Source organism: Homo sapiens, chromosome 3 (genome assembly GCF_000001405.40).
Source record: "Homo sapiens chromosome 3, GRCh38.p14 Primary Assembly".
Classification (NCBI taxonomy): Eukaryota; Metazoa; Chordata; class Mammalia; order Primates; family Hominidae; genus Homo; species Homo sapiens.
The window spans coordinates 197013369-197035193 of record NC_000003.12 but is presented as its reverse complement, the minus strand read 5'-3'; the positions used below and the strand labels follow the sequence as shown (position 1 = coordinate 197035193).

Below are 21825 nucleotides of genomic sequence, written 5' to 3'. Positions count from 1 at the left end.
AAATTCTTTCCTATAAAGAGGCAAAAAAAAAAAAAAAAAAAAAGCTTTTATTCCTAAAACTTCCTCAACATGTCTGCCATTGTTCTCAATATACAAATTCAGATTAAGCAGTCAGCAAGTGTAACACCCTTTGATATCACACTACTGCAGGTGCTAACGTCCCAACCAGTCGGCAAGAGCGTAACATCCTCTGACATCACACTACTGCAGGTGCTCACACAGTAACCAGTCAGCAACAGCATAACATCCTCTGACATCACACTACTGCAGGTGCTCACACCACAACCCGTCAGCAAGAGTGTAACATCCTCTGACATCACACTACTGCAGGTGCTCACACAGTAACCAGTCAGCAAGAGCGTAACATCCTCTGACATCACACTACTGCAGGTGCTCACAAAGTAACCAGTCAGCAAGAGTGTAACATCCTCTGACATCACACTACTGCAGGTGCTCACACAGTAACCAGTCAGCAAGAGTGTAACATCCTCTGACATCACACTACTGCAGGTGCTCACACCCCAACAAGTCAGCAAGAGGGTAACATCCTCTGACATCACACTACTGCAGATGCTGACACCCCAACCCGTCAGCAAGAGTGTAACATCCTCTGACATCACACTACAGCAGGTGCTCACACAGTAACCAGTCAGCAAGAGAGTAACATCCTCTGACATCACACTACTGCAGGTGCTCACACCCCAACCAGTCAGCAAGAGCGTAACATCCTCTGACATCACACTACTGCAGGTGCTCACATCCCATCCCGTCAGCAGGAGAGTAACATCCTCTGACATCACACCACTGCAGGTGCTCACACCCCAACCAGCCAGCAAGAGCGTAACATCCTCTGACATCACACTACTGCAGGTGCTCACACCCCAACCAGTCAGCAAGAGAGTAACATCCTCTGACATCACACTACTGCAGGTGCTCACACCCCAACCAGTCAGCAAGAGCGTAACATCCTCTGACATCACACTACTGCAGGTGCTCACATCCCATCCCGTCAGCAGGAGAGTAACATCCTCTGACATCACACCACTGCAGGTGCTCACACCCCAACCAGCCAGCAAGAGCGTAACATCCTCTGACATCACACTACTGCAGGTGCTCATGTCCCAACCAGTCAGCAAGAGTGTAACATCCTCTGACATCACACTACTGCAGGTACTCACCCCAACCAGTCAGCAAGAGTGTAACATCCTCTGACATCACACGACTGCAGGTGCTCACACCCAACCAGTCAGCAAGAGTGTAACATGCTCTGACATCACACTACTGCAGGTGCTCACACCACAACCAGTCAGCAAGAGTGTAAAATCTTCTGACATCACACGACTGCAGGTGCTCACACCCAACCAGTCAGCAAGAGTGTAACATCCTCTGACATCACACTACTGCAGGTGCTCACACAGTAACCAGTCAGCAAGAGAGTAACATCCTCTGACATCACACTACTGCAGATGCTCACACCCCAACCAGTTGGCAAGAGTGTAACATCCTCTGACATCACACTACTGCAGATGCTCACACCCCAACCAGTTGGCAAGAGTGTAACATCCTCTGACATCACACTACTGCAGGTGCTCACACCCAAACCAGTCAGCAAGAGAGTAACATCCTCTGACATCACACTACTGCAGGTGCTCACACGCCAACCCGTCAGCAAGAGTGTAACATCCTCTGACATCACACTACTGCAGGTGCTCACACCCAAACCAGTCAGCAAGAGTGTAACATCCTCTGACATCACACTACTGCAGGTGCTCACACCCCAACCAGTCAGCAAGAGTGTAACATCCTGTGACATCACACTACTGCAGGTGCTAACGTCCCAACCAGTCAGCAAGAGCGTAACATCCTGTGACATCACACTACTGCAGATGCTCACACCCCAACCCATCAGCAAGAGTGTAACATCCTCTGACATCACACTACTGCAGGTGCTCACACCCCAACAAGTCAGCAAGAGGGTAACATCCTCTGACATCACACTACTGCAGATGCTGACACCCCAACCCGTCAGCAAGAGTGTAACATCCTCTGACATCACACTACAGCAGGTGCTCACACAGTAACCAGTCAGCAAGAGTGTAACATCCTCTGACATCACACTACTGCAGGTGCTCACACCCCAACCAGTCAGCAAGAGTGTAAAATCTTCTGACATCACACGACTGCAGGTGCTCACACCCCAACCAGTCAGCAAGAGAGGTAACATCCTCTGACATCACACTACTGCAGGTGCTCACACCCCAACCAGTCAGCAAGAGTGTAAAATCTTCTGACATCACACTACTTCAGGTGCTCACACCCAACCCATCAGCAAGAGTGTAACATCCTCTGACATCACACTACTGCAGGTGCTCATGTCCCAACCAGTCAGCAAGAGTGTAACATCCTCTGACATCACACTACTGCAGGTGCTGACACCCCAACCAGTCAGCAAGAGTGTAAAATCTTCTGACATCACACGACTGCAGGTGCTCACACCCCAACCCATCAGCAAGAGTGTAACATCCTCTGACATCACACTACTTCAGGTGCTCACACCCCAACAAGTCAGCAAGAGGGTAACATCCTCTGACATCACACTACTGCAGGTGCTCACACCACAACCAGTCAGCAAGAGTGTAAAATCTTCTGACATCACACGACTGCAGGTGCTGACACCCCAACCAGTCAGCAAGAGCGTAACATCCTCTGACATCACACTACTGCAGGTGCTCACACCCAAACTTTCTCAGGGCACACCAGCCTTCCAAGGGTTCCCCAGAATAAAAACTATTTGGCTTGTTCTTAAAGACATTGCGGGCCATAGAAATAGACAGACAGAAATTATGATTTGTTGAAAAATATTTTTTCCTAAGTACAATATTTTACTTCGTTTTGGGTAAAGGATTTCACCCTTTGCTGGCTCATTAGCCACTACCTGCTGATGGACCTTCTCAGTCTCCTGTCAAAGGCCCCCACTTTCTGAGGCTGCCTGTAGTGTATTCCCTCCATGGGATGTACTGTTCCTCGATTCCCTGACAAGCAAGCTCAATGCTTCTGGGCACTCTGAATCCTTGGAGAGCCAGAGCTGTGTCTTTGGCAAGAGTGGAGAAGAGCTCTTTTTATTTCATATTATGGGGTAGGGTCAGGGAGACTCAGGCAGAGCTGCTTAGGCCCCAGAATCTGATCGAAGTGTCAGTGAAACCAGTTCCTTTAGTCTGTATGCTCTCCCTCTAATCTCAATATGAGTCTAGAATGGGGACCAAACTAACCTCAGCTTCTGCTCCTCCAGAAGGCTGTTTGTGGGTTAAACTACTGGCTTATTACTCTCTCATTACATCCCACCCATTTCTCTGGCACACCCAAGTATGTCCGGACCCCAGAAATGGCAGAATCCTGGCTCAAGCTGAGGCAGACTTCCCCATTCCACAAAGGTGATGCGCGTTCATGCCAACCCTGGGCCAACGGGCCCGATGTAGAATCCCTGAGAACCCAGAGGCAGCAAGTTCACTGATGAGTCACAGCTGAATGACACCCAAGAGATAAGGGAAGAACTTCATTGTGAAAGAGCCCAGCAAACCTCTTAGGTTATGGTTGTTCTCACTCCCTATCAGCGTCACGTGGAGTTTTGCCAAAGGAAGGACTTAGTCATCAAACAGATCCTGCCAGTCATCTGGTGGCTCCTGGAGTGTGCCAACTGAGCCTTTCTATCCTCGTGGTCAGGAGAACGAGGCTTGTTAAGGACTCTTCTATTTATTCCATCTTCTTAGGACAAGCCATCAGCCCCTCTAGCAAGGCTGCCTGCTAGTCCATTCGGCACCTTTGTGCAAACTAGGAAGAAGGGATCCATCTGGGGGGATGGAGAAACAGCTTCCACAGCACAAGTCCTCCAGAGCAGACAGGAGACGGAAAGTATGGCACGTCACGGCCATCATGACCTACCTTTTACATGTGGGGAACAAGCCCAGAGAGGGCGACGAACTCGCCCAGGGTCTGTAAGTCGCTGGTTTTTAAAAAGTAGAGCTCGAGTCTCCTGAAGCCCAGCCCATGTTCCTTCCCCTGATCCAGTGTGTGATAAGCAGTAGCTTCATGGCCCCATAGGAGGGAGGCCTTCCTTCCCCAGGGCGCAGAGCAAGCTCAAGGACAGACAAACTCAGAGGGATGTCTTCTCTCTCACTGTTGTACTTACCCATGTCAGAGAGAGACATCATTTCTGAGTCTCAGAGGGGCTGATGACATAAAGGTGAGGCCTAAATGGAGGCAGGTGACTAACAATGTCTTCAGTTCATTCCCCGCATCCCCAACCACATGGGGAGTGCCGCTTTTGCCCGCCTGCGACAGTGGTTCTCAACATTTGCTGTGCCCCGAAATAAAAACAGATTGTGGGCCCCGCCCCCAGAGCTGTCGATCCAGTGGGTCGGAGGTGGGGCCTGAGCACTTGCATTTCCAGCAAGTTCCAGGGTGATGCTCACGTTGCTGGCCTAGGGACCACACTGAGAACCACTGTCCTAGAAATACGGTCAACCCACCCTTTCCTCCCTCACCTTCTTCACTCTCTTCCTCCCCTTCTCCGCCTGTTTCTCCTTTTCCGCTTCCTCCAATTCCTCTCTGGTCCTCTTCTCACCTTCCAATCAGCTGGCTCTGCCACTGACTGGATGCCTGACTCGGGCAAGTCACCTCCCGTCTCTAGGCCCGAGGAGAGGCAGTCGGCTAGGCCGAGATGCCCCTGCCCGGCTCCCCCCTCGCCAGGGCGCTCGGCCTGGGCTCCCCCGTATCCCAGATCCTCTGTGCAGCTGTGGCCGAGATGCCCCTGCCCGGCTCCCCCCTCGCCAGGGCGCTCGGCCTGGGCTCCCCCGTATCCCAGATCCTCTGTGCAGCTGTGGCCGAGATGCCCCTGCCCGGCTCCCCCCTCGCCAGGGCGCTCGGCCTGGGCTCCCCCGTATCCCAGATCCTCTGTGCAGCTGTGGCCGAGATGCCCCTGCCCGGCTCCCCCCTCGCCAGGGCGCTCGGCCTGGGCTCCCCCGTATCCCAGATCCTCTGTGCAGCTGTGCTGGGAGGGAGCTGCTGCGTGAATGAGATCATCCTCCAGCTGCCCTCCAGCCCCGACTCTGGGATTCTGACCTCTCCTTCCTTCCACGTCTGAGCTTTTCTCTCTCCAGTTAGACACGGTATCTGGAGTCTTTCTAGGGCGCGAGGAGGGGAGGATACCCTGGAACGCGGGGTAGGAGGCTGAGGCGAGAGCCCCGAGCAGCGGCGCCCGGGCCCGAGCGGGAGGCCTCCAGCAGGGGGCGCGCCGGGGCCGCCCAGGGGCGGGGTCCGGGGTCGGCGGGAGGTGACCTGCGCCCCAGGGGCGTGGATTCCGCCCGGGAACTCGCGGCCGCACTTAAGGAGCTCGGGCCAGCGCGAGGGGGAGCAGGGAGGAAGCCCGGCTGCTGCGGACCTCCTCGGACCCGGACCCAGCCCCAGCCCGGCCCCAGCCAGCCCCGACGGCGCCATGCGGGGTCCGAGCGGGGCTCTGTGGCTGCTCCTGGCTCTGCGCACCGGTGAGGCCCCGCTGTGAGAGCCAAAGGCGGGCGGGGGTCCCGGGGCGCCGCGGCCCGGCTGAGCAGGTCCCGGGGCTGGAAATGTGCCTGAGCCTGCGGCTCCGGGGCAGTGAGACGGGGGAGGCAGGGGCTCGGGGTCGAGTGAGGACGGCGGAGGGAACTAGCACTGAAGCGCAGACGGGGAAGTCTGGAAGGCTTCTTGGAGGAGGCGGCCTCGAACACCCGAGGCTTCCGACGCTCCAAGGAGAAGCGCGGGCTGAGGCGTGGTGGGGAGGCCTCGGGGTGTGGAGAGGAGCTCCCGGAGGGCGGCCCCTCCCGACGGGCGCAGGAACTCAGGAAGACTTTGGGGGCTCGGAGCAGCTCTTTCTCCCGAGCCCCCGCGGGAGAAGATTCAGAGGGACTGACCGGCAGGCGCGGGAGTCCGCCCGGGGGTTTCTGGCACATGCAGGGATGGAGGTGGAGACGGAGGCCGGGTCCCCTCGCGTCGGCGCCCCGGGGAGTCAGGGCCCGGGATGGTGGGACGGGAGGCGGGACCTCGGGGAGCGGCTCGCGGGGATCGCGGGCGGCGACCGCCGAGGGGATGGAGTTCGTGGCACCGCTGTGGCCGCAGGCGACGCACTCATCAATGCAAACGATGAAGCCACCGCCACCCCCGCCCCGTCTGAACTTTGCAGTTTCCCGCCTGGGTGGTGGGGGGCTTGGAGCGCTGCGGAGGGGAGGGCAGTTCGACTTCCCAGGCCTCCGCCAGGAGTGGGGAGGGGAGGGCTGTGGCGGAAGCTTCAGTCTCGGCCCTTGGGCTGGTGGGGCTGCCACGGGAGGGTGACCTGGTTTCGGGCGGAGTCATGCGTTTCCCTCCCTCCTGCACAGGCCTCTGGCAGTGCTGGCTGGGGCAGGGTGAATGGCAGAGGAGCTCAGGCCTGAAAGTCATCGGCCCCAAGGGGCTCCAGCACCCCTTCCTCTGGGCCCCTAGCCTGGGAGCTCTCGGGGACTCTGACCCGGTCAGATCCTGAGGCATAAGCAGAAGTCCACTGAGGATGTGGGTGTCTCAGGCTCTCTACAAGGGGGTTTACTTTCAACACAGAAGGTGGGGTTTTTATCTGCTCTCTCAGAAGATGAAGCAGGCTCAGAGAGGCTTGAACCTACCCTGATGGGTCCTCAGCCTCCCCTCTGTGCCTGCCGTCTTCCCTTGGCAGGGCCTGGCACTGTGCCCACCGAGGGTGGCTTTGCAGCCAGCATCATCGCAGACACTCCCCGAGGGGACAGGGCTCCTGGAGGGCAGCCCACCCACAGCCCCCTCACCTCACTCTCCCGTCCCAGTTCATGAGGAAGGCCCAGGGACACTGCTGGGTGAGGGAACCTACACGAGCACCCTCTTCGGGAGGCCTGGAGAGGGGAAGAAGCTTCCACTTCCAGGGCCTGCCGAGACTCCCTAGCCAGTGCTCCCACCAGGTGGGGGTAGCTGAGAAGCGACCTGTAGACCCTCCCATTCCTCCATAAAGGGCCGGGTTCTGAGCCATTCCATTTGCCAGCAGCCGTGCTCCTGGTCAGAGAGGCCCTGAGCACAGGAATACCAGCCCTTCCCCTGTCTCTGCGCCTAGTGCCTCCCTGTGGGAGGGCAGGGCTGCCCTAGAGGACTGGCTGTCCAGGCGAATGGGCTCACACAGAACTGCTGGAGCCACCCTCCATGGTGGGCCGGGGCTGGGCAGGGCGGGGGAGCCGGGCCTCACGGTCCCCTGCCCGCAGTGCTCGGTGGCATGGAGGTGCGGTGGTGCGCCACCTCGGACCCAGAGCAGCACAAGTGCGGCAACATGAGCGAGGCCTTCCGGGAAGCGGGCATCCAGCCCTCCCTCCTCTGCGTCCGGGGCACCTCCGCCGACCACTGCGTCCAGCTCATCGCGGTGAGTCCTCTCCCTTCCACCCTGCCAGACAAGAGGGCTGTGACTCAGGAGGGAGCACACAACAGCCCCATTCACCAGGAAAGGAGCCGACCTCGCCCTGCCAGGCCCGGCCGATAGGATCTCCCGAGTCTCCCTGGCCACGAGGCCAGCTTGCCTCCCGCCGGGCCCAGGCCAGGAGGTGGGAGCCTCAGGAGGACCCGCTGCTCAGAGGGCGCCAGCAAAGAAAGGCACCTGAGAGGCTTCCCTTCCACAAGGCCCCTGCCAAGGGGGCCCAGATGGTGGCGGCCCCTCAGTGGCCGCAGGCGGTTACTTGCTCATCTTGCCATGGGGCTCTCCAGAATGGGGCTTGTGTGGTTTCTGGGGAAGGAGGAGCAGGGGCTGGACTCCCAGGTGGGTGAGCATGGGGTAGGAGAGCAGGTCTGCTGAGAACTGCTAAATGACACTGACAATCCTCCGAGGCACCACCAGAGAGTGGCGTCCCTCCTGGGTGGGTGCAAAGAAAGCTGGCTTTTCATTCCAGCTCTGCCCCCCATATGCCCCCAAGACCTAATCCAATCACAGGCCCACACTGGGGCCAAGGCTGTGGGTCAGGCTCCATGTGAGGGCAGAAACCCCAAGCACAGACCACCTTAGAGAAAAAAAGCTAGAAAACCTAGGGTAGCAGTAGAGGCGCAGGGTGGAGGGACAGAAAGCGAGGGAGACTCACTTGTCACTGCGCACCGTTTTCTGCTATCTGATTTTTTTACTATGATATCTGAGTCCTGCAAAATCAATGATTAGTATTTTTTTTTTAACATTATTAGGAAAACAAGGTGAATCCCTGGCCTGGGAAAGGGGGAGAGCCCTGGGCTCTGGTTGGGCTCCTGGGACAGATGAGAAGGACAGCACAGCCCTCTGGGGCTTGGGGTGGGGCCCCAGGCCATCTGGTAGGTGTCCCGAGTTCTTTGCTGAGCAGGCCAGCTGGGCCAGGCTTGGCTGAGCCACATTTCCTTGCAGGCCCAGGAGGCTGACGCCATCACTCTGGATGGAGGAGCCATCTATGAGGCGGGAAAGGAGCACGGCCTGAAGCCGGTGGTGGGCGAAGTGTACGATCAAGGTAAGAGGGTGCAGTGGGAGGAGAGAGGACAGCCTGCGCTGGAAGTCAGCTCTCCAGGCTGCCCTTGCTGGGCCTGGCCTGAGCTGGCCATCAGCCCTGTCCACAGAGCAGTCCTGGAGTCCCAGCCAGAAGAACGCCCTAAGGCTCTCTCAAATTCCCCAGGGACAGGAGCTCCAGGGACACAGAGAGCTGCCCCAAGTCTGCTCTTGCCCGCAGGGAGCCCAGCAGCCCCCTAGCCTGTGCCCACTCAGCTCTTACTGCGGGCTGTCCCGGGCCTGGCGTGGTGCCGGGCACGGTGCTGTGTGCGTAACTGCCTTGGGTGAGCAAGGCGTCCTTAATGCCGAGCCACCTGCACTCTCAGGGCCTCCCTTCAGAAGCCCGGCTCCGGGTAGGGAGGTGCTGTCTGGCAGCGGCACAGCTCAGCAGACCCAGCCCTTCCCCTTCCCATGACTTCTGTGACCTTGGCCAACCTCCACTTCCCAGACTGTATAATGGGGATAGTAACACCTGCGCTGTCACCCAGACTAAATGAGCCAGGCCGTGTGCCCACCTGACATGTGGTATGTGCTGGAAAGTGTGAGTTCCTTTGCCCAGTCCCCGCATCACACATGGGACCTGCCTCCAGCTCAGCCAGCTCCTGTGTCTCCCCCGCCACCTCTGCTTGGCCGGTGCCTGGCCTCCATCACAGTCCAGCGCAACTGTCACCTCCTCCAAGGTGCTCCCTGAGCCCCTCCCTCTCTGGAGCAGGGCCTCTCTTGCCCGCACCCACATGGCCTCTGCAAGCCTCTGCCTGCTCAGTCTCGTTAGTCCTCAGAGGAGGGTCCAGTCTTCCCCTGTGTCTACCCTCTGGAACTCCACACAGCATCTCGCTTGGAGAAAGCACTGGCTGGTTCCTTGTTGAATTAATGGCCATCAAATGACACACGGCACAGTCCAACCCTGCACACCCATCAGCCAGAAACAGCTCTGCCTCCGAGGCCCCACGCACCTCTTCCTCTTTAATTAACTCGACACCTCTACTGAGCACCTGCTACCCGCTGGTCATAAGCATGCAGCAGTAAACGAAGAGACCTTCCTGCCCCCACAGAGCAGAGAGTAAATAAACACACCCAAAACAATACAGTGACACATGTTGGGGTGCTGTGAGGAAAAGGGAAGGGCAGGACAGAGAAAACGAGGGTTGCGGGGAAATCCACTGAAATAGAGCAGGCAGGACGGTGCTCTGCAGAGGTGATGGGTAAGCTGAGCCCCGCAACCATCTCAGGCGGTCCAGAGGATTGGTAAGAAACAAGGCGGGTGAGTCAGAGGATGGTACCAGACGGAGCTACTCAGGTTGGCGGGGGCCAGACCCTGGTGTGCAAGAAGTAACACTGGCTTTATGTTCTAGAACTCAACTTCATTCTGATATGGCCTCCCACACCACCGGGCAGTTTGTGCACGCGTGCATGCCTGCGTGTGTGCGCCCGTGCGATGGGAGACCCTCTGGGCATCAGTTCCCACAGCTGAGTCTGTGTTTTGCCTGAGCAGCCCCTTGGAGCCACCTTGGCACAGGGGAACGCTTTGCAAGGCTGCAGAGCCCTGGCCCCACCACACACACCCTGCAGCATTCAGGGTCGTGAGCGACTTGGGGCCACATCGCTAGTTCTCTCTGTCTCTGCCTCTGTCTCACTCTCCTTCAACCCCCTCAGCACCAGGAAATCGCCGCTCCTCATCTGGGGAAGCCCCTCCTCGGCTCCCCTGCTCCTCCCAGACACCCTTCTTCCCATGACCCTGACACCATTCCCCCAAACCCTCCAAGTTCTCCTAGGGGCCTAGGCTCTTGGAAAGCAAGGACTTGCTGGCTTCTGCTTTCTGTCCAGCTAAATAACTCCCCTGATGTGAGCAAATGTGGACCCAGCTAAGCACCAGCTGCTGGGGAAGGAAGAGGGGGAAATCAATGAATACATCAATATCTCAGGATCGTCTCTACCTCAAGAGGCTAGAGGGCAGGGCCTCTTAATACATGCAGATGAAGCCCACTTGCTCTCTTGGTAACGAGAACGCTATGCACACATCCGTGTGTACAGCCGTGCTCCGTGCACACACCTCTCCCACAGCCCGCCCAGGCAGGGTGCTGGTGCAGCCTCTCTCGAGGCCTCTCCCTGCTGCCCTCACCCACTCCCCTCCCCTCCTAGAGGTCGGTACCTCCTATTACGCCGTGGCTGTGGTCAGGAGGAGCTCCCATGTGACCATTGACACCCTGAAAGGCGTGAAGTCCTGCCACACGGGCATCAATCGCACAGTGGGCTGGAACGTGCCCGTGGGCTACCTGGTGGAGAGCGGCCGCCTCTCGGTGATGGGCTGCGATGTACTCAAAGGTGAGGGCTTTGGGCTGGGCAGGAGGGTCCCCAGGCCTCCCCCTCCTTTCCTTGGCCCATGCTCGTCCCTTCACTGGGTAGCCTCCCTCCGGCCTCGCCACCATTCTTCATTCCTGGAAGGCGCAGCAGCCCCCGCCCGCCCCGTGCCTCCCCCGCCTCCACTCTGCCGCCGGCGCCGCCGCTTGACTTCCTGCTTGCTTGGACCCTGTGGGGCGCGATTCTTGCTCACGCATCGTGGTGTCCCACATGGCACAGCCAGGCACAGGCCCAGCCCATGAGTGGGAAGCAGTGAATCTCCCAGGAGTGCTTCCCACCAGTATAGACCGGGCGCAGGTCACTGTGTCTAGAAATGTGTCCTCGGCTTTACAGGACCAGAAATGCTATTTTTTCAGGACCCAAACGAGGTGCCGACTTGCACCCAGAAAGCTCCCAAGTGGCTCATCAGCCCAACCAGCCGTGTAAACCCGCGAGAGCCTGGAAGCCTCACCCTCTCAGCTGGTGGCCAGGTGTGAGTGGCTCACCAGGCACTTGGCATATTTATTAAATATCTACTCCTCTGGGAGGTCACAAAAAAAAAACCAGGAAGAGGGCTTACTCTGGAAAAGCTCAGTCTGGCTGGCGATGAGCGTGGCCCGACTGGCTCAGGTGCCAGCAGCAGGGCCTCCTCGCGCGGCACAGGATAAATACTTGTGGGTTTTGGTGCTGGCAGGGCCGGAAGAACCATGCAGGGCGGCAGACCCTGACCTCGTCCCCCGTGAGGCTGGCCGCCGGGCGTGTGCCTCCCTCCCTGTGCCGTGAGAAGGGTTGTCTACCCATCAGTGATCTTCAATAATTCTTTATTTCCCCTCTGTCATCAGTCACAGTTGGCTGAGCTGGAAATGAAACCCACAGTGAGAAGAGCATCTGGCTGATACTGAGTTATCCCACGTGGTCATTTAGGAGGAAATGTTTAGTTCCCCCGAACCATTTTTAAATGACAGTCGCTCCCAGTGCTGTCTGCTGCCTTGGTGGACCCGGTTTGGGGGTCACTGATCGGGTCCACTCCCCAGCTTTGCTCAGACTGAAGCTGGAAGGTGGAACCATTCTCAGCAGAGTCCAGATGAGAGCCCGGGCCCCCTGCTGACCCTGGGGGCTTGGCTTGGCTCTGAAGAAAGTTCTGCTGAGTGACCTCTCTACCTCCTTCCCACAGCTGTCAGCGACTATTTTGGGGGCAGCTGCGTCCCGGGGGCAGGAGAGACCAGTTACTCTGAGTCCCTCTGTCGCCTCTGCAGGGGTGACAGCTCTGGGGAAGGGGTGTGTGACAAGAGCCCCCTGGAGAGATACTACGACTACAGCGGGGCCTTCCGGTGAGCGGAGTGGGGGCAGGGAGGGGCCGAGGGCAGGGAGGAGCTGAGGCCACAAATGCTGGGGAAAAACACCTTTGCCCAGAGAGGGCCGTGGAGGGGGAAGTGGCATGTTGGCTGCGTCTCATCAAAGCACCCTTTATATAGTTCTGTGCCCTGGTTAGTTTAAAAACATCCAGCTGGAATATGCCAAACCGGATTTGCTCATGAAATCAACGTGTTTGGTATATTTAGTGAGGTGAGGGCTCCAAGAGAAGAAAATGGAAAAAACAGCCTTTTGGCCACTCCCATGTCCCCATTCTCAGACCAGCAGGGAGCGGGGTCAGGGGAGTGTGTCTGGACACCTGGGGCCGGCCCGTCTCTGCTGCTGGTTGCGGCTGGCACCTTGGGTAACCCTTCCGTGGATGCAGGAGACTCTAACAGCTCGTGGTCCAATTCCATCTGCCTGCAGAGGAGGAAATGTGCTCAGCAGGATTGGAAAGGAAGCTTCTCGGGCCCCTCTAGCTACCTCACGTTTCCACCTGGAGCAGGGAAGCCTGCTGGTGCCCCACACTCCAGATGTTATCTGACTGGATGCGGTTTTCGGCTTAGAGAGAAGAAACAGTCCTCAGCACCCCTGAGCGGGACAGCCTTGCCCCTCCACTCCCCGTGTCCTTGGCCATGCACACATTCTCTCTGGCTCTCTTGGAGCCTCAGAGCCCTCTCCTGATGTCGCCCGCCCCGATCTGCTCTAATCCCTGTGCATTTTCTGCCCGTGGGGACCCAAGCAGACCCTTTGCCCAGGAGGTCTGACCTGCCTCCAACACTGGGCAGTGACATCAGCAGATCGTGTAAAAGTCAATGGTCCCTTCCACTGAGGATTCTGCGGCATGGCATGAAAAGGCCTTCTAGTCCAATCCCCTGCCTCAGGGTAGAATGCTCTTCAAAACACCCTGAAAATTAGCCCAGCATGGTGGCACACACCTGTCACCCCAGCTACTTTGGAGGCAGAGGCAGGATGATCACTTGAGCCCAAGAGGTCAAAGCTGCCATGAGCTATGATTGCGCCACTGCACTCCAGCCTGGGCGACACAGTGAGACCCTATCTCTAAAAACAAAACAACGAAAACAAACACACAGAAAACCGACGCCCTGAGAGTCAAGGCTGCTGATATTATAATAGCAGCTGCCCTGGGAGTGCCTGCTCCCTACAGGCCTGAGCTAAGATGGAGAGGGTCCATACTGGATTATAAGGAGCCTCTCATCCTCAGAGCAGCCCTGTGGGAGCTACTTTCCCACCCCCGCTTTACAGATGATAGGGGCTAGGAAGGGGCCACAACTCGGCAAAGGCACACAGCCGACCAGCCAGGGAGCTGGAACCCAGACCACACAACTGGAAAGCCCATGCCCATCATGGCCACCCCTACAGCCCAAGCCAGGCCTCCAGAGGTGGAAGATGGGCAGGGGCAGGGGCTCAGCCCATCCAGACCCACAGCTTCTCCTCCGCAGGTGCCTGGCGGAAGGGGCAGGGGACGTGGCTTTTGTGAAGCACAGCACGGTACTGGAGAACACGGATGGTGAGTGGGGGAGGGGCACGGGCCCAGAGGAGCAGGGAGTCAGGCCAGGCCGGCTTGGGGCAGGGACCCTAGATGGCAGAGTTGGGATCAAACGCCCTAGTGCAGTGCTGCTCTGAGTCTCTGGGTGACCTTGGACAAGTCCCACAGTCTCCGAGCCTCAGCACTCCCAGCTGCAAAAGAGCAGAGGCAGGTGTCACCAGTGGAGTGCCCACTGCCCACAGGGCAGGAGAAGGGGGCCAGCGAGCAGCTCTGCTCTGCTTTGATTTGAATATGGCATTGGGTTCTGGTTCCACCTGAAGATGAGGGTCTGATTTTTTAAGCAATTTGCAAACCCCTGCACTGGATCTCACCTACCAGCCCTTCCTGGCATTTTTCTCCTCTTGCCTGGAGAATTTGTCCCTCATCCCTGGGAAGGTTTAAGATATAGTTTGGTGTTGAGGCTGGGCACGGTGGCTCATGCCTGTAATCCCAGCACTTTGGGAGGCCGAGGTGGGCGGATCACGAGGTCAGGAGAAGAGACCATCCTGGCCAACATGGTGAAATCCTATCTCTGCTAAAATACAAAAAACTAGCCGAGCGTGGTGGTGGGTGCCTCAAATCCCAGCTACTTGGGAGGCTGAGGCAGGGGAATTGCTTGAACCCAGGAGGCAGAGATTGCAGTGAGCCGAGATCACACCACTGCACTCCAGCCTGGTGACAGAGCGAGACTCTGTCTAAAAAACAACAACAAAAAAAAAACCCACAAAGACTGGTGTTATATATTGAGCCATCATGTCATTTAAGTTTTTTAATTTTGAAAGAACTGAGCTTTGGAAAACTTACAAGAATAACTCAAAGAGCTCCCTTCTATTCTTCACCCAAATTCTAACTGTTTAGCATTTTCCCACATTTTATTGTGTGTGTGTGTGTGTGTGCGTGTGTGTTCTGACCCATTTGAGAGTACATTTGCCTATGTCATACCCCTTGAATACTTTGGTATGTATCTCCTAAGACAAGGAGGTGTGTACCTAGCCACAGTAATCCAAATCAGGACACGCAACTTTGATACAATCCTGTTATCCAGTCTATAGCCGATATTGCAGATTCACTCACCGTCCCAATTCTGTCCTTCATGCCCATTTCTTGCAGACCAGGACCTAAACTCTTACCACGCATGGGGTTTAGTTGTTAGATCTCTTTACTTTCCTTTATCTTGGAACAGTTTCTCAGTCTTTGTTTTTATGACATTGGCATTTTGAAGCATCAGGCCGGTTATTTTATAGAATGTCCCTCAATTTAGATTTGCCTGAAGATTGTTTCTTTTTTTAAATTGAGATATAATTTACATGCAGCAAAATTTGTTCTTTTTGAAGGATAGTTCTATGAGTTTTGCCAAATACATGCAGTTGTATAACCACCACCACAATCGAGATCTTGATGGGGCAGACCCTTCAGCCCAGGAGTTCCTCAGGCCCCTGCTAGTTATCTCCCCGCACCTGCCAGCAAGCAGCAAACACACCGTTCTGTCTGCAGTTTTGCGTCTCCCAGGACGTCTGATGATTGGGTTTTTTTTTTAAATCATTGTCATTCTTTGCTGTTATTAACCATTGCCTTTTAAATCAGAAAGTCCATCACGAAGGCAAACATGGACCAGATCTGAGGAGGAAGAAGGCGAGTGCCCTGCACACGAGGAAGCACGTAGGACGATGCGCTCTAGTGCTGGGCAAGCCTGGAAATGGGCTCCCGTTCACAGGCCCCAGGACGAGTCTGACAAAGGAGAATTTGGAAAACGGGCAAAGAGTAGGGATATGTTGGGTTAAGAATCAGCTCTTTCAAACTTGGGGTTTTTTTTGAGATGGGGGTCTCACCATGTTGCCCAGGCTGGTCTCAAACCCCCAGCCTCAACTGATCCTCGCATCTCAGCCTCCTGAGTAGCTGGGATGACAGGCGTGCACCTGGCAGCTTTTTCAAAGTGTTGATGGTAATCTGAGGCAATCTAAGGGAGTCATTTTTTAAGTGACTTTATACAGAAAGATTGGTAAGAGCCAAGGGGTAGAAGTGGCATAAATGTCTAAAGCAGGGAAGTGACAGGACTTTCATTGTTCTTGGCTGAGGAGAAGCGGGAGTGGCTGATGGAAGCACCTAAATGATGCCTTTGTCTGTGGGAAGGCAAATGATGCCCCAGAGCTCTAACCAAAGGTTTTGCAGCCGCCGAAAAACAGGAAAGTTGGGAAGCGGGGGTAGGACTACACTGAATCATTAACAGTGCTGTAAACTACCATGTGGCCATTAACAATGACCTTTAGGGAGTTTTCCTAAACGATCACTCTGGTGCGGGTGTTTGGTTTTGTTTTAAAATAGCTTTGCAGTGAAAGCTTTCATGACCATACAAATTATCTTTTTTCTTCCTATTTCCTTGTAGAGGTTTTTTTCCTCCTTGTCTTAAGGTCATAAAAATATTGTTATGTGGGACCATCTGTGGTTTAATTATAGTCCTTAATATTCGTCTTCTCAATATCCCTGTTTGGTGTTAATAGTTACTCTTGCAAATTTTCTTTTCTATCGAGAAACAAATGAACTTATGGAAAGTTTCCAATACTGTGGAAAAATACTCTACCAAATAGGATGCAAAATTGCCTGTCAACTATGTCCTTAACCAGGTTAAAAGCGGTCAAAAGGAGGCTGGGCACGGTGCCTCACGCCTGTAATCCCAGCACTTTGGGAGGCCGAGGCTGGCAGATCATGAGGTCAGGGGTTCAAGACCGGCCTGGCCAACATGGTGAAACCCCATCTCTAGGAAAAATACAAAAATTAGCCAGGCATCTTGGTGCACACCTGTAATCTGAGCTACTCGGGAGGCTGAGGCAGAAGAATAACTTGAACCTGGGAGGCGGAGGTTGCAGTGAGCCAAGATCATGCCACTGCACTCCAGCCTGAGCGACAGAGTAAGACTCCATCTCAAAAAGAGAAAAAAGGCCAGGTGTGGAGGCTCACGCCTGTAATCCCAGCACTTTGGGAGGCCGAGGTGGGTGGATCACGAGGTCAGGAGATCAAGACCATCCTGGCTAACACAGTAAAACCCCATCTCTAATAAAAAAAAATACAAAAAATTAGCCGGGCGTGGTGGCGGGCACCTGTGGTCCCAGCTACTCGGGAGGCTGAGGCAGGAGAATGGCGTGAACCCGGAAGGTGGAGGTTGCAGTGAGCCGAGATCGTGCCACTGCACTCCAGCCTGGGCGAAAGGGCCAGACTCCGTCTCAAAAAGAAAAAGGGGGGGTGAGGTCAAAAGACAGGAAATAAAATAGAAAAAAGGACTTGAAAGAAATCCATCGCAATATGAATAGTTGGAGTTATGGGAGATCCCCCGTCCTCTCTAGTCCTGGGGTGGGTAGATTCCTTCGGGGTTTGTTTCCACCGTGGCCCCTGCTCCGGGAGCCCTGCCCCCTGCCCCCTGCTCAGAGCCAAACGCAGTGCCTCATGGCAGCCGCAAGCTCATCCTAGACTCTTGGTACATTCATCTGTCTCACCCAAAGCCTTTCTTTTTTTTTGAGACAGAGTTTCGCTCTGTCGCCCAGGCTGGAGTGCAGTGGCGTGATCTCGGCTCACTGCAAGCTCCGCCTCCCAGGTTCACACCATTCTCCTGCCTCAGCCTCCCCAGTAGCTGGGATTACAGGCGCCCGCCACCACGCCCAGCTAATTTTTTGTATTTTTAGTAGAGATGGGGTTTCACCGTGTTAGCCAGGATGGTCTTGATCTCCTGACCTCGTGATCCGCCCACCTCGGCCTCCCAAAGTGCTGGGATTACAGGCGTGAGCCACCACGCCCGGCCAGCCTTTCTTATTTTCTTACTTTTTTTATCTTGAATAGTTATTTATAAGTATTGTATTACTGTCAGATACCTCCAATTCACTTTAGCAATAGAAATTGGTGAGAGCTAGAAAATGAGAGTAACGAGATAGAGTCTGTGTAGGTACCTGGAGTTGGGTGCGGCCACCAAGCTCTGCCACCTTCTGAATGCTGGGTTCTCATGTCCATGACACCCAGCCACCCCTCAGATTCCCTCTCCTGGGCCTTCCCCGCCACCCGCCCCAACCCCTTTCGGAGCTGGCTCAGCCCAGGCTTCCTGCTTCCCAGGGAAGACGCTTCCCTCCTGGGGCCAGGCCCTGCTGTCACAGGACTTCGAGCTGCTGTGCCGGGATGGTAGCCGGGCCGATGTCACCGAGTGGAGGCAGTGCCATCTGGCCCGGGTGCCTGCTCACGCCGTGGTGGTCCGGGCCGACACAGATGGGGGCCTCATCTTCCGGCTGCTCAACGAAGGCCAGGTGGGCTCAGGGTCCCCCAACCACCTGCACAGCTTCCTAGATGGTGCCGGGCCTTGTGGTCGCTCAGCAGGGTGGGACCAGGAGGGGCAGGACCCAGAGACTGTCCTTGGGACGGACCCCAGCATCGGGCCAGGTCAGAGTGAGGAACCGACTATGCTGGCTGGCCAGAAGGAGGGCTGGCCAGGAGAGGGGGGCCCAGAGGAGGGGGACCCAGGGATTCAGGCACCCTCAGAAGAAGCTCCTGAGACTTGTGTCTCTGAGAGCTAAAACCAAAACATATGAGCAAATAAACCAAGTAACAAAACCAGCGCCTTTCAAAGCACACCATTAATTACATGTGGCGAATAAGGTTTGGCTAAAACCGCCGCTTGTGACAGCAATAGACTTCTGACTGCTGGTGCCCCAGGCTCAGTTAGTTTTGCCCTATCCAGGCTGCTACCACCAGCCCCACGGCGTGTCCTCAGGACCGTCCCATGCCTGGCCACAGCCATGTGTCCAAACAGCTGAGTGTGAGGAGGCCAAATGAACTCAGAGTAGACCCAGAACTGACAGGGCCCAGGGGAAGGAGGCCGCAGATCAGGGGAGGCGCCGCAGAAGAGGGAGGCCTCACCTGGCCCTCAGGGTGGGTGCCTGGTCTGAGGTCGGGGAAGAAGGAGGTAGGGGCCAAAGTGGGAGGGAAGGATATGGCCTGTCAGCACCCTCACCACCCTGTACCACACCCCTTGACACACAGCGTCTGTTCAGCCACGAGGGCAGCAGCTTCCAGATGTTCAGCTCTGAGGCCTATGGCCAGAAGGATCTACTCTTCAAAGACTCTACCTCGGAGCTTGTGCCCATCGCCACACAGACCTATGAGGCGTGGCTGGGCCATGAGTACCTGCACGCCATGAAGGGTCTGCTCTGTGACCCCAACCGTAAGTCCACCTGTCCCCACTGCTGCCAGCTCCAGCCCAGCTCAACCTCGGGCATGGCGAGGCTCTCTGGGAAAGTGGCCGGGGGAAGACGCTCACCAGGGAGGCCTCTGCGGGAACCTGTCATTTCCATTCCTCTGCCCCTGGGGCTTTGGGGAGGAGGCATCTCTTCCACTGTATGGCCTGTTGTACCTCGGAAGCCCCACCTGGCCGCAGCGGGGGAGGATGCAGACCATCAGAATCTGTCTTGGGAAGGGTCTCCTCGCCCCCCCATCCACGGCCATGGCATCCTGTCAGCTCTTCTACAGCCTCTCGCTCCTACTCCCCGCCTCTACCCCATGGCTACAGCCCTGGCGCAGGTGCCATCTTTCGCCTGGACTATTGCAGTAGTCTACAAGTGAGCTTCTTGCCTTTAGCCCCCTGGCCCCATGTATCTTCCACCTCCAGCCAGGGAAGTGGGTACCACACACTGAGTTACATGCACGCCAGCCATGGTCTTCCTCAGGCCTCACAGTTGCCCCTTTTCTGTGTGAGGAAGTGGGATCCGATGGTTAAATAACTTATCCCAGCCACACACCTGACAGGAGAAAGGCCCAGAATTTCCCTTGGGTCCGACTCCATGCTCTTCCATGGCAGTACTGGCCTGGCAGTGACCGCTTGCTTGCCCCACCCCAGGGCTGCCCCCCTACCTGCGCTGGTGTGTGCTCTCCACTCCCGAGATCCAGAAGTGTGGAGACATGGCCGTGGCCTTCCGCCGGCAGCGGCTCAAGCCAGAGATCCAGTGCGTGTCAGCCAAGTCCCCCCAACACTGCATGGAGCGGATCCAGGTGGGAGTCACGCAGGTGCAGCGTGGGCCAGGTGGGCGGGTGGTGGCAGTGCCTGGGCAGTTCTTACTACCCACACCCCCTGCTGCCTGGGGAAGAGGAGAGTGTCTACTGCAACAAGCCCACAGAGACGGGTGGGGAGGAGCGACCGCAGGGGCCAGCACCCACCCCAGGGGACAGAGACAGGCGGGGAGGAGCGACCGCAGGGGCCAGCACCCACCCCAGGGGACAGGCAGATAGGGGTGAGTCCCCTGGAGAGCCTGGGAGCTCCTCACTAAGTGGGGGTGCCAGGAGCAGAAGAAGCGCTGGCCCAGCTGGGCACTGACGCCCTGTAGCCTGGGGCAAGCCCCTTCCCCTTTCTGAATCTCAGCCTTCCCTTGTGCAATAGAGAGTGGGCGTGGATCATTGTTCGACTTTTTTTTTCTTTTTTCCTGATTTTTCTAAATAGACAAATAATAATTGTGCATATTCATGAGATACATACTGATGTTTTGATACATAGAATACATGGTGATCAGAGCAGGATAATAATTAACATACCATCATCTCAAACATTGCTCATTTCTCCGTGTGGAGAACATGCAATATCGTCCTACCTGTTTGAAACTATGTATTATTGTTAACTCTAGTCATCCTACAGTCTATAGAACACTGGAGCTTATTCCTCCTATCTCTCCTGGCTGGGTGCATTGGCTCACACCTATAATCCCAGCACTTTGGGAGGCCAAGGTGGGTGGATCACTTGAGGTTAGGAGTTCAAGACCAGCCTGGCCAACATGGTGAAACTCTGTTTCTACTAAAAGTACAAAAAAATTAGCCGAGCATGGTGGCACACAGTTGTAATCCCAACTACTTGGGAGGCTGAGGCAGGAGAATCGCTTGGACCCGGGAGGTGGAGGTTGCAGGGAGCCGAGATCACACCATTGCACTCCAGCCTGGGCGACAAGAGAGAGACTGTCTCAAAAAAAAAAAAAAAAAAAAAAACTCTCCCTATTCCTCCCTTCCCCTACCCTTCCCAGTCTGCAGCATCCTCTGTTCTACTTTTTACTTCTGTGAGATCAACTTTTTTTAGCTTCCACATATGAGTGGAACATATGGTGTTTAACTTGCTGTGCCTGGCTTATTTCACATAACACGGTGTCCCCCAGTTCCGTCCGTGTTGCTGCCAGTGACAGGATTTCATTCTTTTTTATGGCTAAATAGTATTCCACGGTGCATGCCAATGACATTTTCTCTATCCATCCTCTGTTGTTGGACACCTGGGTTGATTCCACATCCTGGCTATTGTGGCCAGTGCTGCGATAAACATGGGGTGCGGGCATCCCTTCCACAGGCTGATTGCCTTTCCTTTGGACAGATTCCCAGTGGTGGGATTACTGGACCATATGGTATTCAATAGTTCGATTTGTAGTTTGTGGAGGGACTTCCGTACTGTTTTCCATAGCGGCTGTCCGGGTTTACATCCCCAGCAACGGTGTGTAAGAGTTTCCTTTATTCTGCATCCTCACTAGCATTTGTTATTTTTTATCTTTTTGATAACAGCCACCCTAACTGGGGTGAGCTGATACCTCACTGTGGCTTTGATTTGCATTTCCCTGATGATCAGTGATGGCTGCTGGCATTTTGTATGTCTTCTTTTGAGAAACGTCTGTTCTGATCATTTGCCCGTTTTTAAGTTGGATGGTTTTCTGCTGTTGAGATGTTTCCGTTGCATGTGTATTCTGGATATTAATCCCCTGTTGGATGAGTAGTTTGCAAATATTTTCTCTCATTCCATAGGCTGTCTTCATTTCACTCTGTTCGTTGTTTTCTCTGCTGTGCAGAAACTTGTTTGTTTGATACAATTCCCTTTGCTTATTATTGCTTTTGTTGCCTATGCTTTCGAGGTCTTTTCATAAAATCTTTTCTCAGACCAATGTCCTGAAGCGTTTTGCCTATATTCTCTTCAGCAATTTTATTGTCTTGGGCCCTGCATTTAGGCCTCTCATCCATTTTGAGT

General features: G+C 55.4%; 1 protein-coding gene across 5 annotated transcripts in view, besides 9 other annotated features; it reads left to right on the top strand.

Annotated features, from left to right (window-relative positions):
- Window positions 2761-3960: an enhancer, noted in NCBI's record as "BRD4-independent group 4 enhancer chr3:196758105-196759304 (GRCh37/hg19 assembly coordinates)". NCBI's record gives its function as "activates an origin of replication core promoter dependent on BRD2, P300/CBP, MED14 and CDK7 cofactors, and independent of BRD4, by STARR-seq in HCT116 cells {active_cell/tissue: HCT116}" and the evidence as "EXISTENCE:reporter gene assay evidence [ECO:0000049][PMID:35650434]".
- Window positions 3362-3656: an enhancer, noted in NCBI's record as "tiled region #10918; K562 Activating DNase unmatched - State 5:Enh". NCBI's record gives its function as "activates a minimal TATA promoter and a strong SV40 promoter by Sharpr-MPRA in K562 cells {active_cell/tissue: K562}" and the evidence as "EXISTENCE:reporter gene assay evidence [ECO:0000049][PMID:27701403]".
- Window positions 4348-4984: an enhancer, noted in NCBI's record as "H3K27ac-H3K4me1 hESC enhancer chr3:196757081-196757717 (GRCh37/hg19 assembly coordinates)". NCBI's record gives its function as "activates a minimal SCP1, AML or CMV promoter by ChIP-STARR-seq in primed H9 embryonic stem cells {active_cell/tissue: H9 hESC(primed)}" and the evidence as "EXISTENCE:reporter gene assay evidence [ECO:0000049][PMID:30033119]".
- Window positions 4985-5621: an enhancer, noted in NCBI's record as "H3K27ac-H3K4me1 hESC enhancer chr3:196756444-196757080 (GRCh37/hg19 assembly coordinates)". NCBI's record gives its function as "activates a minimal SCP1, AML or CMV promoter by ChIP-STARR-seq in primed H9 embryonic stem cells {active_cell/tissue: H9 hESC(primed)}" and the evidence as "EXISTENCE:reporter gene assay evidence [ECO:0000049][PMID:30033119]".
- Window positions 4985-5644: a biological region, named in NCBI's record as "H3K27ac-H3K4me1 hESC enhancer GRCh37_chr3:196756444-196757080".
- Window positions 5155-5644: a silencer, noted in NCBI's record as "silent region_15085". NCBI's record gives its function as "represses an Ori minimal core promoter by ATAC-STARR-seq in GM12878 lymphoblastoid cells {active_cell/tissue: GM12878}" and the evidence as "EXISTENCE:reporter gene assay evidence [ECO:0000049][PMID:35858748]".
- Window positions 5377-21825, top strand: part of MELTF (melanotransferrin) — a 28078-nt gene continuing 11629 nt past the window's right edge. For 4 of the 5 annotated variants that reach the window (XM_047448150.1, XM_006713643.4, NM_005929.6 and 1 more), the window contains exons 1-9: window positions 5377-5540; window positions 7284-7438; window positions 8435-8534; window positions 10709-10891; window positions 12081-12237; window positions 13723-13790; window positions 17904-18091; window positions 18825-19005; window positions 19678-19829. In XM_047448150.1, coding sequence (XP_047304106.1) covers window positions 5492-5540; window positions 7284-7438; window positions 8435-8534; window positions 10709-10891; window positions 12081-12237; window positions 13723-13790; window positions 17904-18091; window positions 18825-19005; window positions 19678-19829 — 1233 coding nt within the window. In that variant the 5' untranslated portion in view covers window positions 5377-5491. Of the gene's footprint in view, window positions 5541-7283; window positions 7439-8434; window positions 8535-10708; window positions 10892-12080; window positions 12238-13722; window positions 13791-15392; window positions 16242-17903; window positions 18092-18824; window positions 19006-19677; window positions 19830-21825 lie in introns of those variants that run through there. The other variant, NM_033316.4, reaches the window with a different exon arrangement.
- Window positions 5695-5744: a silencer, noted in NCBI's record as "silent region_15084". NCBI's record gives its function as "represses an Ori minimal core promoter by ATAC-STARR-seq in GM12878 lymphoblastoid cells {active_cell/tissue: GM12878}" and the evidence as "EXISTENCE:reporter gene assay evidence [ECO:0000049][PMID:35858748]".
- Window positions 5935-6114: a silencer, noted in NCBI's record as "silent region_15083". NCBI's record gives its function as "represses an Ori minimal core promoter by ATAC-STARR-seq in GM12878 lymphoblastoid cells {active_cell/tissue: GM12878}" and the evidence as "EXISTENCE:reporter gene assay evidence [ECO:0000049][PMID:35858748]".
- Window positions 12411-12460: an enhancer, noted in NCBI's record as "active region_21107". NCBI's record gives its function as "activates an Ori minimal core promoter by ATAC-STARR-seq in GM12878 lymphoblastoid cells {active_cell/tissue: GM12878}" and the evidence as "EXISTENCE:reporter gene assay evidence [ECO:0000049][PMID:35858748]".